The sequence below is a fragment of the Homo sapiens genome, chromosome 16 (assembly GCF_000001405.40).
Source record: "Homo sapiens chromosome 16, GRCh38.p14 Primary Assembly".
Classification (NCBI taxonomy): domain Eukaryota; kingdom Metazoa; phylum Chordata; class Mammalia; order Primates; family Hominidae; genus Homo; species Homo sapiens.
In genome coordinates this window covers 4,298,191-4,314,181 of record NC_000016.10, presented here as the reverse complement: position 1 = coordinate 4,314,181, position 15,991 = coordinate 4,298,191, and the positions used below count along the sequence as shown (strand labels likewise).

General features: G+C 53.1%; 3 annotated features.

The window, feature by feature from the left end:
* Window positions 1,537-1,768: a silencer, noted in NCBI's record as "fragment chr16:4362415-4362646 (GRCh37/hg19 assembly coordinates)". NCBI's record gives its function as "represses an EF-1alpha promoter that drives an FKBP-Casp9 reporter gene in an ReSE screen in K562 erythroleukemia cells {active_cell/tissue: K562}" and the evidence as "EXISTENCE:reporter gene assay evidence [ECO:0000049][PMID:32094911]".
* Window positions 8,359-8,871: an enhancer, noted in NCBI's record as "H3K4me1 hESC enhancer chr16:4355312-4355824 (GRCh37/hg19 assembly coordinates)". NCBI's record gives its function as "activates a minimal SCP1, AML or CMV promoter by ChIP-STARR-seq in primed H9 embryonic stem cells {active_cell/tissue: H9 hESC(primed)}" and the evidence as "EXISTENCE:reporter gene assay evidence [ECO:0000049][PMID:30033119]".
* Window positions 14,780-15,074: a silencer, noted in NCBI's record as "tiled region #643; HepG2 Repressive DNase unmatched - State 4:PromP, and K562 Repressive DNase unmatched - State 8:EnhW". NCBI's record gives its function as "represses a minimal TATA promoter and a strong SV40 promoter by Sharpr-MPRA in HepG2 and K562 cells {active_cell/tissue: HepG2 | K562}" and the evidence as "EXISTENCE:reporter gene assay evidence [ECO:0000049][PMID:27701403]".

Here is a 15,991-nt window from a genome sequence, read left to right as displayed (position 1 = left end):
TCTCCTGAGTGTGGATAATGTGGAGTGTGGCCGGGTTAAACATTAGCCGGGAGATGGGCCCCGGGGGAAGGCCAGTTTCGGGACCTAGCGCTTCCAGGAGGGGGCTATTAAGGGCCGACTCTCTGGGTCCGGCGACCTGTGCGGGCGTCCGGAAGGGCCGAGGCCGAGGCCCGCAGAGCGCCCCCTCACGGCGGCGGGAATCGCTGCGCTTCAGCCCGGAGCCCTGCCCTGCAGCCGACCGCATCCGACCTCAGGCAGGCAGAACTGCAGCCCTGGGGTCGAGGTGTGTAGAAAAAAGGTACAGGAGACGCTAGTTTAAATCTGTTAGCAAAAATGTTTATCGGTCGGGCGCGGTGGCTCATACCTGTAAGCCCAGCACTTTGGGAGGCCGAAGTGGGAGGATCCCTGGAGGCCAGGAGTTGGAGACCAGCCTGGGCAACATAGCAAGACCCCCACCTCCCACCTAGTCTCTATTATATTTTTTAAAAATTGGCTGGGCGTGGTGGCTCACGCCCGTAATCCCAACGTTTTGGGAGACTGAGGCAGGCAGATCACTTGAGGTCAGGAGTTTGAAACCAGCCTGGCCAACATGGTGAAACCCCATCCCTGCTAAAAATACAAAAATTAGCCGGGCATGGTGGTGCGTGCTTGTAATCCCAACTACTCAGGAGGCTTAGGCAGGAGAATCGCTTGAGCCTGGAAGGCATAGGTTGCAGTGAGCTGAGATCATGCCATTGCACTCCAGCCTGGGTGACAAAGCAGGACTCCATCTCAAAAAAAAAAAAAAGAAACTTCCAGTTCTTGGCAAGACCAGTCTTTCTTTTTTTATTTTTCTTTGAATTTTTTTAGAGACAGGGTCTCCTTCTCTTGTCCAGGTTGGACTGCAATGGCTCTATCCTACCTCACTGTAGCCTCCCTCCAACTGCAGGGTTCAAGCAAGCCTCCCACCTCAGCCTCCCAACGTGCTGGGATTACAGGTGTGAGCCACTTCCAGACCAGTTCTTTTTCTCTACCAGACATTTTATTTTTTTACTTTTATTTTTATTTGTATAAATAGAGACAGGGCGGGCACAGTGGCTCACGCCTGTAATCCCAACACTCTTATGAGGCCAAGGTGGGAGGATCACTTGAGCCCAAGAGTTTGAGACCAGCCTGGGCAATATAATGACACCCCAGACCTTTTTTTTTTTTTTTTTTTTTGAGACAGAGTTTTGCTCTTGTCTCCCAGGCTGGAGTCCAATGGTGCGAGATCTCGGCTCACTACAACCTCTGCCTCCTGGGTTCAAGTGATTCTCCTGCCTCAGCCTCCCAAGTAGCTGGGATTACAGGCGCTCGCCACCATGCCGGCTAATTTTTTGTATTTTTGCTAGAGATGAGATTTCACCATGTTGCTCAGGCTGGTCTTGAACTCTTGACCTCAGGTGATCCACCCGCTCCGGCCTCCCAAGAGACCACATCTCTTTACAAAAAATAAAAAGTTAGCTGGGCCTGGTGGCACACATCTGTAATCCCAGCTACTTGGGAGGCTGTGGTGGAAGGATCACCGGAGCCCTGGAGATCAAGGCTGCAGTGAGCTATATGATCATGCCACCGCACTCCAGCCCAGGTGACAGAGCAAGACCCTATCTAAAAAAAATAATAATAGCTGGGCGCGGTGGCTCACACCTGTAATCCCAGCACTTTGGGAGGCTGAGGCGGGCAGATCACCTGAGGTCAGGGTTTGAGATCAGCCTGGCTAACATGGTGAAGCCCCCCGTCTCTACTAAAAATACAAAAAGTAGCTGGGCGTGGTTGTGTGCGCCTGTAATCCCAGCTACTGGAGAGGCTGAGACAGGAGAATCGCTTGGACCCAGGAGGTGGAGGTTGCAGTGAGCCAAGATAGCGCCACTCTACTCCAGCCTGAGCAACAGAGCAAGACTCTGTCTCAAATAATAATAATAATAAGCTGGGTGTGTTGGCCTGTAGTCCCAGTTACTTGGGAGGTTGAGGCAGAAGGATCACTTGAACCCGAGAAGTGGAAGCTGCAGTGAGCTGAGACTGTGCCGCTCCAGCCTGGGTGACAGAGTGAGAATATGTCTCAAAATAATAATAATATTTAGAGATAGGTCTTGCCATCTTGCCCAGGCTGGTCATGAACTCCTGGTCTCAAGTGATCCTCCTGCCTCAGCCTCCCAAAGTGCTGGGATTCCAGGTGTGAGCCATCCCCAGCTCTTTCTCTCTACTGGACATTTTCATTATATGGATGACAACAGCACAAAGAAGTTCACTAACTTGTCCAGGGTTGTATAAGCTAGTAGGAGGCATAGTCCAGATTGCAGTCTCCATGTGTCTGCAGTCTGAATCCAAAGCTTGTGCTCTCTAACCCACTACTTCCCTGGAGCATCAGGTAGCTGTCGAGGTGGGGGACAGGCAGTGGAGACAGCCAACAAGGCCAGGCTCTGAGCTGTTTTCTCTAGGTTCTGCTTTTCCAGGAGGCAGCAGCTGCCATTGCAGGAGAGCCAGGCCCCATTTCTCCTTCTAGGTGAACAACAGGCATGGAGGCATGTCCCCCCTCCCTGCCATTGTGCTGGGCGTCCTCCTCTCAGAGTAGGCCCCTCTTGGAGGGAGGATGGTCTCTCCTATTAGACGGTAAGATCCCCAAGGAGAGGGACATTGTCTGCTTTGTCCCTCCCCCTGCAAGGTCCTGCCCAGGGCCTGGCATGTTGTCAGTGCTTCCTGAGTATCGCTGATAGATACACTTTGGGGGCTGAACTTGGTCCCCTAATCCTTTACCAGTAAACATTTATTGAACATCACCTAGGTTCACATTCATTTTTTTTTTTTTTCGAGACAGAGTCTTGCTCTGTCGACTAGGCTGGAGTGCAGTGGCATGATCTCGGCTCACTGCAATCTCCACCTCCCAGGTTCTCCTGCCTCAGCCTCCTGAGTAGCTGGGATTACAGTCCTACGCCACCACACCGAGCAAATTTTTGTATTTTTAGTAGAAATGGGGTTTCACCATGTTGGCCAGGCTGGTCTCGAACTCCTGACCTCATGACCCACCCACCTTGGCCTCCCAAAGTGCTGGGATTACAGGCGTGAGCCACCGCGCCCAGCTCCAACAGATTATTAAGCTCTCTTTTTTTTGAGATAGGGTCTCACTCTATTGCCCGAGCTGGAGTGCAGTGGTGCGATCACGGCTCACTGCTGCCTTGACATCCCAGACTCAGGTGATCCTCCTACCTCAGCCTCCCAAGGAGCTGGGACTACAGGCATGTGCCACCACACTCAGCTAATTTTCATATTTTCTGTAGAGACAGGGGTCTCACTATGTTACCCAAGCTAGTTTCGAACTTCTGGGATCAAGCAATCCTCCTGTCTTAGCCTCATAACAGGCGTGAGCCACCATATGCAGCTGAGACCCTGTCTCTTTTTTTTTTCTGAGACGGAGTCTTGCTTGTCACCCAGGCTGGAGTGCAGTGGTACAACCTCTGTCTCCCAGGTTGAAGCTATTCTCCTCCCTCAGCCTCCTGAGTAGCTGGGATTACAGGCGTGTGCCACCACATCCGCCTAATTTTTGTATTTTTAATACGGATGGGGTTTTGCCATGTTGGCCATGCTGGTCTCTAACTCCCGACCTCAGGTGATCCACCCACCTCAGCCTCCCAAAGTGCTGGGATTACAGGCATGAGGCACCGCGCCTGGCCCTTAGACCCTATCTCTAAAAAACCAAAAAAAACAAAAAAACAAAAGAAGTAACCCTTGAGACCTACATTGTAGATGTAGGAGAGATGACAGGAATCAGAATGGATGAATGGTGGCAGATCCAGACCTCTGGCCCTTGACCTTGGCCAAGCCCTCTAACCTCTCTGAGCCTCGGTTTCCCCATCTATGAAATCGCAGTCCTCAGGGTACCTATTACCACTGGCCTCTGTGAGGCTCAGTGGGAAGTGCACAGAAAGGGCTTCCAGCAGCACGTGGCTGGGAGAAAGAGCCCGCAAATGGTAGCTATTATGAATGAAGCAGCCCACAGCGGGCAGAGCCCAGTCACAAGGCAGGAGTGATGGAGGGAGTGAGATCAGGATGACTTATCAACCCTGAGCCGGTGGCCTGGCGAGCCTCTCTCTCCATTGGCGCTGGCTGGCTGAGCCTACAGAGCTGGGGCTGTCTGCGGGTGGGGTGTTTATTCTAGGAAGCGGCCCTGGCTGCTTCTCATTCCCTGCCCCAGGGAGAAAGGAGGGCTTCAAGTCAGAACCGAAGCCATGCTGGGCCTGGCATGTACAACACAGCGCCACCTGCCCGCAGGGCCCAGAGCTGAAAATGCCCAGGAGGTGCAGCCCCAGGGGCCTGGCTGGGACTTGCAGATGTGAGACACTCCCAGGGTGACCCACCTGACTCCCCAAGAACCTGTCCTGCAAAGCCTAAAATGCTCAGCTTTTGGAAGTCTAGAGACTGGGTCCTGCATTCCAGGGCGGGGACGGGATGGGGCGCCTGGGCTAGGGGGGAGAGTTCTATCAGAGGTGGGGATGTCCCTGGTGGCAGCGCTGTCACCCTTGGGCTCCTTCATCAGAGGCTTGCTTCATGGAAGCCATGTGAGCTATGCAGTTGCACAGGGCTGGCCCTTAGAAGGGCCTGAGTGTGGCTGAATGTTCTGCTGTCACCGTCTTGAAATTCTTAATCATTTTAGAACATGGCCCGCGAATTTTCATTTTACATTACGCAGCCTGTCCTGCCTTCATGGTTTCGTTTCTCCTAGCATGTAGCTTCTCCCTCCCATCAGTGTGGCGCACAGACCCAACCTTCAGCCACATCCAGCAAGACAGGAGTGCCTTAGGTAAGCCTCATTTCCTGAAAGGCCGTGGGAGACATGCACCTGCCACCCCAACCCAGCAGGACCAACCTTTCTGGAAAACCTGAGGCCGGCTGTGTGACGTGGGTGAGTCACTCAACTGCTCTGAACTTCTCGGTATCATAATATTGCACAGATCCTTGGGAAGTTTAAAAGAGGTAGTTTTGGGCTGGGCCTGGTGGCTCATCCCTGTAATCACAGCACTTTGGGAGGCCAAGGCAGGTGGATCTCTTGGGGTCAGGAGTTCAAGACCAGCCTGGTCAACATAGTGAGACACGGTGTCTACTGAAAATACAAAAATTAGCTGGACATGGTGGCACACGCCTGTAATCCCAGCTACTCAGGAGGCTGAGGCACGAGAATCGCTTGAAACCAGGAGGCAGAGGTTGCAGTGAGCTGAGATTGCACCACTGCACTCCAGCCTGGGTGACAGAGCGAGACGCCATCGCAAAATAAATAAATAAAAAGTAAAAAAGGTAGTTTTGGTTGGGCACAGTAGCTCACGCCTGTAGTTCCAGCACTTTGGGAGGCCGAGGCAGGAGGATTGCTTGAGCCCAGGAGTTCGAGAACAGCCTGGGCAACATACTAAGACCCTGCCCCATCTCTACAAAAAATTAAAAAATTAGCTAGTTGTGGTGGTGCATGACTGTAGTCACAGCTACTTGGACAGCTGAGGCGGGAAGATTGCTTGAACCCAGGAGGTGGAGGCTGCAGTGAGCCGATTGTGCCACTGAACTCCAGCCTGGGGGACGGAGTGAGACCCAGTCTCAAAAAAAAAAAAAAAAAAAAAAAGGCCGGTCACAGTGGCTCAGGCCTGTAATCCCAGCACTTTGGGAGGCTGAGGTGGGCGAATCGCTTGAACCCGGGAGGCAGAGGTTGCGATGAGCCCAGATCACGCCATTGCACTCCAGCCTGGGCAACAGAGCGAGATTCCAACTCAAAAAAAAAAAAAAATTTAAGATTATTGCAGGGCTGGGTGCGCCGTCTGACGCCTGTAATCCCAGCACTTTGGGAGGCCGAGGCGGGCAGATCACGAAGTCAGGAGTTCAAAACCAGCCTGGCCACCATGGTGAAACCACATCTCTACTAAAAATACAAAAATTAGCCAGGCGTGTTGGCGCGCACCTGCAATCCCAGCTACTCGGGAGGCTGAAGGAGGAGAATCGCTTGAACCTGAGAGGCGGAGCTTGCAGTGAGCCGAGATCGCGCCATTGCACTCCAGCTCTGGGCGACAGAAGACTGTCTGACGGGGTAGGGGAAAGATTGTTGAAGGCGCTAACTTGGAGGGAGAGGAGTCCGCCCGGGATCCCTAAGGACCTGCCCCGGGGAGGAGGAGCCGTCCCTCCCTTGGCCCCTCCCCTCCTGCCTTCCGAGGGAGGAGACCCCCCCAGGGCAGGAACGAGGGGGCGGAGAAGCGCGAGCGACACATTTTTGAGTCGTGACCAAGTGGAAACTCCCTCCCCGAGGCGGAAGCTGGGGGCGCCCCACTGGGGCCCAAGCCTCCGCCGGGGCGGGATTCCAAGCCAGGGGCGGGGCGCCGCCGGTGACCCGGGCCCCGCCTCTCGCCCGCCTCATGAATATGAACAAGCCGGCTGGTGAGCGGAAGTGCGAGGCGGCCCCAGGCTGGCTGGCTCTGCCGCTGAGAGGGGGGCGCGAGTCCGGGGGGCGTGGCCTGGCTCGGACGCCCCGCCCCTACCCCCACGCGGGGCCTCCTTCCGGCCGGCGCGCCCCGGACGTGACCTCGCGGGCGCGCGCCGGGAGCCGCCAGACTGGGCGCCGACAGCATCCTCCGGGGGTAGGCGCCCACAGTCATTCTTTCCATCGCTGCGGACACGGGAGTCAGAAGTGAAACAGTCCTGTCCTCGTGGGGCTTACGTTCCAGGCGCAAGAGCCACAGGTAGTCGAATTGGGAAACCGCCTCGGATGTCACATAAGCGCCCAGGGAGGACAGGGCAGGACAGGGCCTCCCTGGGGAGGTGACTTGAGTCAAGACTCAAAAGAGGGAAGCGAGGGAACAAGCCATGCGAGGAACTAACGAAGGAACATTCCAGAAAGATTTCACATCCCAAGCCTAAGGTCCAGGGGCAGCAGGCATTGAGGCGGATGTGGCTGGAGTGGAGAGAAAGAGGAATTAAAAGGATGGAGTAATGACAATAATGGCTCACATTTTTTAGCAAGAGGTGGGTTCACTACCTATCTGTCGTTATCTGGGGGGAAATTAGGCTCTGGGAGGTCAAATAACTTGCCCAAGGTCACACAGCTTGTAAGTGGCCAGACCAGCATTGGAACCCAAGGGGACGGATGTCTGAAACACACCCAGGAGTCCCAAGGTGGGATGACCTTGACCAAGACAGGCCCTTTACCCCTTGCCTCAGTTTCATCCCAAAGAGCTGCCCAAACACAGCTTAAAATCAGGGCACAGAGCAAGGGTGTAGCTGAGTGTGCGTAACATCTGTTCTCCTGGGAGATGCTTTTGTTGTCTGGGAAGCACTTGTCACCTCTCCAGGCTCTGGAGCAGGTACAAGTGGCTTCGGGGAGAAAGGGTGGGAGCCGGGAAGAGGCTGCTTCTGGTGGCAGGAGGAGAGAGGGAGTGGGTGAGGGGCCCCGGGCTGGCTGAGTGCTCTGGAGCATGACAAAGGCAGTGTCAGCCAGGCAGCTGTGTCCGCCACTAGCAACCGCGCAGGCAGCATCCCCCGCCATCCCTCTGAGCCTGGAGAGATTGAAACACACACAGTCAGCGTGCCTGCTGCCCAGGTGAGGTGCAGAAGGCCTGGGGGTTGCCAGTCTGGGCTCTGCCGCGAGAAAGTGGCTTTTCTGCAGCCGGAAGCGGGGAGGAAGTGTTTTCACCCTTCTACAAAGCTCTGTCTCTGCCTCTGGATCCACGGTGCTGCAGGCCTGAGGGCTCTCATGGGTACGGGCCTGGTGAGTAATCTAGAATTTGCCCCTTCCCCAGCCTGGTGCAGCCTCTAGTCTCGGCCTTCACGCTCTGCTGTAAAATGAGGCTGGGTCAGGAGTGGGACCCATCCTCCGTGTTTGAGGAGCTGGGCTATTACATGAGCCCCTACCTGAGGTCGCCAGCGAGTCAGAGGTCCTGGTGGGACCAGACCAAAATGGAACCTACTATCGGGCCCATTTTGAGAGGGAGACAGAGAGAAGTTAAAAGTACATGCACACACAGCTCTAAAGTAGCAGAGATGGCATTCAAGTCCAAAGCCTTTGACTCCAGGACGGGCACAGTGGCTCACACTTGTAATTTCAGCACTTTGGGAGGCCGAGGTGGGAGGATCTCCTAAGCCCAGGAGTTCAAGACCAGCATGGGCAACATGGTAAGACCCTATCTCTATTAGCGGGGCGTGATGGCACATGGCTGTAGTCCCAGCTACTCTGGAGGCTGAAGCAAGAGAATCGCTTGAACTTGGAAGGCAGATGTTGCAGTGAGCTGACAGAGCAAGATTCCATCTCAAAACGAACAATCAAACACTAGTCTTGCCCGGCGAGGTGGCTCAGGCCTGTAATGACCAGCCTGGCCAACATGGTGAAACCCCTTCTCTACTAAAAATACAAAAATTTGCTGGGCATGATGGCAGGCGCCTGTAATTCCAGCTACTTGGGAGGCTGAGGCAGGAGAATCCCTTGAACCTGGTAGGTAGAAGTTGCAGTGAGCCGAGACCGTGCTATTGCACTCCAGCCTGGGCAACAAGAGTGAAACTCCGTCCCCAAAAAGAAAAAAACACTAGCCTCAAGCCACAGCCATGTCTCCAACCTTCCCGGCCAGGTTTCTCAAAAGAGGGGGCTACCTGAGGTCACCCACTCCTGCCGAACTCCAGGTGGGCTTCCTCATCCCTTGCTCTATCCTAAACTGTTCCTTAAGTGACAGTTCACACCCTGACGTCTTCCAAGCTGAGACCCCACCAGCAGCTAGCTTTTCCTTTGTGGTTCCACCCACCTCCTAAATCCCTTTAGCAGCCGGGTGCGGTGGCTCGCGCCTGTAATCCCAGCACTTTGGGAGGCCGAGGCGGGTGGATCACGAGGTCAGGAGATCGAGACCACGGTGAAACCCTGTCTCTACTAAAAATACAAAAAAATTAGCTGAACGTGGTGGCGGGCGCCTGTAGCCCCAGCTACTCGGGAGGCTGAGGCAGGAGAATGGCATGAACCCGGGAGGCAGAACTTGCAGTGAGCTGAGATCGCACCACTGCACTCCAGCCTTGGCGACAGAGTGAGACTCCAGCTAAAAAAAAAATCCCTCTAGGGTCCTGCGCCTCTGCCTGTAGCCCCTAAAACCGAATACTCCTGAAAGTTTTATCCTGGGAACCCCTTTCCTTGACACTTTAACTCCGTGGAAGAGGCAAAAGTGAGGGGAACCCCCATCTCTACTTAAGAGTTCCCCACATATTTTTTATTATTATTTTTTTCGTGACGGAATTTCACTCTTTGTTTGCCCAGTCTGGAATGCAATGGCACAATCTCAGCTCACTGCAACCTCTGCCTCCCGGGTTCAAGTGATTCTTCCACCCTAGCCTCCCGAGAAGCTGGGATCACAAGCGCCCACCACCACACCAAACTAATTTTGTATTTTTAGTTGAGACGATTTCACCACGTTGCCCAGGCTGGTCTCGAACTCCTCAGATGATCGGCCCTCTGCCTCCCAAAGTGCTGGGATTACAGGTGTGAGCTCCTGCGCCCGGCTCAGAGTTCCCCATATTTATACTTGCCCTCCAGGGCACACTGGCCTCCATTTTTAGGGACTTGCTTGGTATCTGCCCTTGGGTAACCCACTGGAGCTTTCCAGTTGGACTCCTTGATTGGAGGGGAATCTGGCTACACCTGTCGCCCCAGGATGGACCAGCAGGGCCCGTCTTGAGGCTGCACTCGAGGATAGAGGAAAAAGTGTCATCTTTAAGAGTCCCACCGAGTAGCCAGGTTTCCCTGCCGGAAATTCCTGCCTTGTTTTCCTTTCCCTGGTAAAACTAGGAGAGCCACCTCATTTTCCTGAGCCCTGAGCCCTGAGCGCCCGCCCCCACCCCCGTTGGTTCTAGCTACACAGGCTTTCGGCCTCAGGGTTGCTTTGCACCATCCCCTTCCCCCGACCCAGGCAAGTTCGCTTCTGCTTCTCTCTTGCCCAGCCCTCATTAGCAGGCTCTGACACTTCTCAGCCGCCTGTCCGCTTTGCAGAGAACTGACATGTGAGCTGTGCCCAGGGACATCTGCTGAATGGGCGGGTCCCCTGCCGGACCAGTCCATCTGTCCCTCACTCAGTGTTCCTTCTGAGCTGAAGCTGCCCAGCATCCCCCATCTGTGTGAGTATTCACACAGCGCTGGCCAAAGCCCTGTCGGGAATCACGTGATTCAGATCCTGGTTTTGCCCCTGTCAGCCTTAGGACAAGACAGATTTCTTTTTCTTTGTTTCTCCTGAGATAGGGTCTCACTCTGTCGCCCAGGCTGGAGTGCAGTGGTGTGATCTCAGCTCATTGCAGCCTCAGCCTTTGGGGTTATAGCAAGCCTCCCACCTCAGCTTCCCAAGTAGCTAGGATTATAGGTGCACACCACCATGCTCAGCTATTTTTTTTTACATTTATATTTAGTAAAGACAGGGTCTCACTGTGTTTCCCAGGCTGGTCTCAAACTCCTGGCCCCAAGTGATCCTCCCGCCTTGGCCTCCCAAAGTGCTGGGATTACAGGCATGAGCCACCATGCCCTGGCTACCCAACAGATTTCTTTTCTTTTTTCCCCCCCAAGACGGAGTCTCACTCTGTCATCCAGGCTGGAGTACATTAGCGCAATCTTGGGTCATGGCAACCCCTGCCTCCTGGGTTAAAGCAGTTCTTCTGCCTCAACCTCCCGAGTAGGTGGGATTACAGGCGCATGCCACCACGCCCGGCTGGCTAATTTTTTTGTATTTTTAGTAGAGACGGGGGTTTCGCCATGTTGGCCAGGCTGGTCTCAAACTCCTGACCTCGTGATCCACCTGCCTCGGCCTCCCAAAGTGATGGGATTACAGGAATAAGCCACCATGCCCGTCCCACCCAACAGATTTCTTGAGGTGAGTTTTGGTTTCCTGGCATGGTATTGGCTACATGACCTCATCTGTAATGTCTTTGGCAAACAGAATAACTTGTTTTGTATTACTATGTTTAATCTTCAAAATCACCCTATTGAGTAGATTGTCACAATCAGGCCTGTTTTGTGGATGAAGAGAGGGAGGCTTGGAGAAGCCGCGTGGTTCATGCAAAAATGCAAAGCTGCAAAGTAGTGGCGGTGGGGTTCAAGTCCTGACGCTTTCACCACTGAGCGCCTTGCCATCCCCTGCTGCCATCCTCTCTTGGTTCTGATACTTCTTTTTTTTTTTTTTTTGAGATGGAGTCTCACTCTGTCGCCCAGGCTGGAGTGCAATGGTGTGATCTCGGTTCACTGCAACCTCCACCTCCCACGTTCAAGCGATTCTCCTGCCTCAGCCTCCGGAGTAGCTGGACTACAGGTGCCTGCCACCACGCCCGGCTAATTTTTTTGTATTTTTTTAGTAGAGACAGGGTTTCACCGTGTTAGCCAGGATGGTCTCACTCTCCTGACCTCATGATCCACCTGCCTCGGCCTCCCAAACTGCTGGGATTACAGGCATGAGCCATCACGCCTGGCCTTTAGGCCAGCTAATTTTAAGGTGCTTCTCTGAGTAGTGTGAACTGGGGGTCATGCGAAGGGGTCTCAGTGAATCTGGGCAGAGTGTGGTGCTGCTGGGAGTCTGCAGCCCCTTTCAAACAGTCTGGTTCCTTGAAAGGTTAAACATGGAGGCCGGGTACAGTGGCTCAGGCCTGTAATCCCAGCACTTTAGGAAGCTGAGGCAGGCAGATCACTTGAGGTCAGGAGTTGGAGACCAGCCTGGACAACATGGCGAAACCCTGTCTTGATGTAAAAAAAAAAAAAAAAAAAATTAGCTGGGTGTGGTAGCAGGCACCTGTAGTCCCAGCTACTCAGGAGACTAAGGCAGGAGAATCCTTTGAATCTGGGAGGTGGAGGTTGCAGTGAGCTGAAATCAGGCCACTGCACTCCAGCCAGGGTGACAGAGTGAGACTCCATCTCAAAAAAAAAAAAAAAATGTTAAACATGGAGTGACCATATGACGCAGCAGTGCCCCTCCTAGGTATATATCGTGTATATCTAAGAGGAATGGGAACATATCTGCACAAAAATTTGCATGGGAATGTTCAGAGCAGTGTTATTCATAAGAGCCAAAAAGTGAAAGCAACCATGTGTCCCTCACCTGATGAATGGATAAATCAACTGTGGTCTCTCCAAACAGTGGAATATGATTCAGCCATAAAAAGGAACGAAGCAGCTGGGCGCAGTGGCTCACGCCTGTAGTCCCAGCACTTTGGGAGGCCGAGGCCAGTGGATCACGAGGTCAGAAGATCGAGACCATCCTGGCTAACACGGTGAAACCCTGTCTCTAAAAAAATTAGCCAGGCATGTTGGCACATGCCTGCAGACCCAGCTACTTGGGAGGCTAAGGCAGGAGAATTGCTTGAACCTGGGATGCGGAGGTTGCAATGAGCCGAGATCGTTCCACTGCACTCCAGCCTGGGAGATAGAGTGAGACTCCGTCTCAAAACAAAACAAAACAAAACAAAAAAACGAAGCACCAATACATACTACAACATGGATGACCCTTGAAAGCATTATGCCCAGTGACAAGCCAGACACACAGGACGCATGTTGTGTGTTTCTGTTCATATGAAATTTCCAGAATAGGCAAATCCATAGAGACTGGAAGTAGATTAAGGGCCAGGGGCAGTGGCTTACGTCTACAGGCATGAGCAGTTTGGAAAGCTGGGGCAGGAGGATCACTTGAGACCAGGAGTTCAAGACCAGCAGTTCAAGACCAGCCTGGGCAACAGAGTGAGACCCCTATCTCTAAAAAAAAATAAAGTTAGCTGAGTGTGGTGGCGCCCACCTGTAGTCCCAGCTCCACGGGAGACTGAGAGGAGAGGACTGCTTGACCCTGAGAGGTAGAGGCTACAGTGAGCTATGATCAAACCACTGAACTCCAGCCTGGGCAACACAGTGAGACTCTGTCTCTAAAAATAAATAAATAAAAAGATAGGGTAGCTTAGGGGTTGCCTGGGGCCTGGGGTGGTGGTGAGCATCGGGGAGTGACTGCTAAGTGGAGTTTCTTTTTGGGTTAATGAAAATATTCCAAAATTGGTCAGTTGCAGTGGCTCATGCCTGTAATCCAAGCACTTTTAGGAGGCCAAGGCACGTGGATCACTTGAGGTTAGGGGTTCGAGACCAGCCTGGCCAACGTGATGAAACTCCGTCTCTACTAAAAATACAAAAAAATCTAGCTGGGCCCGGTGGTGCTCACCTATAGTCCCAGCTACTTGGGAGGCTGAGGCGGGAGAATCGCTTGAACCCGGGAGACAGAGGTTGCAGTGAGCCGAGATCATGCCACTGCACTCCAGCCTGGGTGACAGAGTGAGACTCCGTCTTGAAAAAAAAAGAAAAAGAAAATATTCCAAAATTGCAGTTATAGATGCACAGATCTGTGGATATTTAAAAACAACTGAATCATCTACTGTGGTGTAATTGTAAAGTGGTGAATTATATGGATTATATCTCAATAAAGGTCTTTTTTTTTCTTTTTTTTTTTTTTTTTTTGAGACGGTATCTTGCTCTGTCGCCCAGGCTGGAGTGCAGTGGCACAATCTCGGCTCACTACAAGCTCCACCTCCCAGGTTGGTGGACATTCTCCTGCCTCAGCCTCAGCCTCCCGAGTCGCTGGGACTACAGGTGCCTGCCACAATGTCTGGCTAATTTTTTGTATTTTTAGTAGAGACGGGGTTTCACCGTGTTAGCCAGGATGGTCTCGATCTCCTGACCTCGTGATGCGCCCACCTCGGCCTCCCAAAGTGCTGGGATTACAGGTGTGAGCCACTGCACCCGGCCTCACCAAAGGTCTTATTAAAAAAATTAGCCAGATTCCCTGCTTCAGTGATAAAAAAAAAAAAAAAAAAGAGGGGCAGGAGAAGAGGACCCAATAACTTCCTGAGTGACTGGGGAAAATATTTTTGGGTTATATTTCTGTAATTCTCGTGAAGTGATTACAGAAGTGACGGGATAGAAGAGGTTTCTTTAAAAAAAATTTTTTTTTTAATTTAGTAGAGATGGGATCTTGCTATATTGCCCAGGCTGGTCTTGAACTCCTGGACTCAAGCAGTCCTCCTGCCTGGGCCTCCCGGAGCTCCCGGGTTACAGGTGTGCAATCCCATGACCAGCCGATAGAGGACGTTTCTATTCATCCTTCAGACCTCAGCTTACAAGTTACCCCAAGATAAGCCTCCCCCACCCCATAACCCTCCCTCTGTCACTTTGTCACGTGTCTGAGCCCTTGTTTCTTCCTTTTTTTTTTTTGAAATGAAGTCTTGTTCTGTCGCCAGGCTGGAGTGCAATGGCGTGATCTCGGCTCACTGCAATCTCTGCCTCTTGGGTTCAAGCGATTCTCCTGCCTCAGCCTCCCGAGTTGCTGGGATTACAGGCACATACCACCACACCCAGCTAATTTTTGTATTTTTAATAGAGACGGGGTTTCACCATGTTGGCCAGGGTGGTCTCCATCTCCTGACCTCATGATCTGCCAGCCTTAGCCTCCCAAAGTGCTGGGATTACAGGCGTGAGCCACCGCGCCAGGCCTGTTTCTTCCTTTTATAGCTCTTCCCACACTTGGAATTCTTTTCTGCCTCTGGACCTGATTTTGTTGGGCTCTTGCCCAGCTGAGTTCCGTGAGGTTCGGGGCTTGTCTGTATCTTGTCTGCCACATCATAGGTGCTCAGTGCACACCTGTTGAGTGGATGCACCATAGATATATTGATAACAGCTGTGAGCGGTTGGGAGCGAGTGAGCAGAGCAGGGCTGCTCAGGGTGTCTCCAGCCCTAGTGGCTTTCTCTCTGTTCCAGTTCCAGGAGAAAGTCTCTGGAAAGGAAGCCCGAAGTCGGGTCTGGCTGGGAAGAGGTGGGGGCTGGGGCGGGTGCCGGGTGCTGGGGCTGGGAGGAAGTCTGCAGCCAGGCTGCTGAGGGTGTGGCGTCTGTGTGTGCACCTTTGGAATGTGGCTGATTCACTCTGAGGGGAGCCATATGCTGCCGCCACCGCCTCGGATCTGACATCTGGAGGCTGAATTCCAGGAGGAGAGAGACAGATTCCTGCAAGCAGATGCCAACTTTGAAGGTCAAAGGGAGCAATGGAACTGCTTTGAGGGGGGTGAGAGGGTCCAACACTCCCTCCAGGGGCTGGGAGGGAGGTGAGGCCCCCTCCCCAGACTTGCCTGAGCCCCTGATCTATCAGAGCCTCTATGCGGACAGCTGGGGCGCAAGGAAGAGAGCATGAGCTTCAGCGTTCAGACCTGGATTCAAAGACCAGTTTCTGGGCCAGGCACAACGGCTCATGCCTGTAATCCCAGCACTTTTGGAAGCTGAGGTGGGAGGATCACTTGAACCTAGAAGTTTGAGACCAGCCTGGGCAACATAGTGAGACCCCATCTCTACAAAAAAATAGAAAAATTAGCCAGGTGTGGTGGTGCGGGCCTGTAGTCCCAGCTACTCCTGAGGCAGGATTGCTTGAGCCCAGGAGGTGGAGGCTATAGTGAGCCAAGATTGCACCACTGCACTCCAGCCTGGGTGACAGAGCAAGACCCCCCCATCTCAAAAACAAATTAAAAAATAAATAAATAAGTAAATAAATGAAATAAAGACCAGTTCCTTGACAGCTCGTGTAACTGCAGAGGCCGAGGGTCTAGCTGGGTCCAGTGCTCACAGGAACACTGGCTTGCATCTCCCAGCCAGGTTTCCTCCGTTTTCGCTTTGCTCTTGGGCCAGCGCTTCCTGAGAGGAGGCCCTGATGTCACAGACCTGTGAACCTCCAGCTTGTGTCTACCACGGGTTCCAGCAGAATCCTAGGTTTGCCTCTCTTTGGCTGGAGCTGGGTCCCAACCCAGCCCTGTAGCGATCACCGTACTCCTGATGGGACAGGCCTGGGTCAGGAGCCTGCCCAGCACAGGGCAATACCCCTGTAGCCCCATGGAGCAAATGGAAATGAGGGGGGCTGTCCCTTAAAAGAACCACACCGGCCAGGCGTGGTGGCTCACGCCTGGAATCCCAGCACTTTGGGAGGCTGAG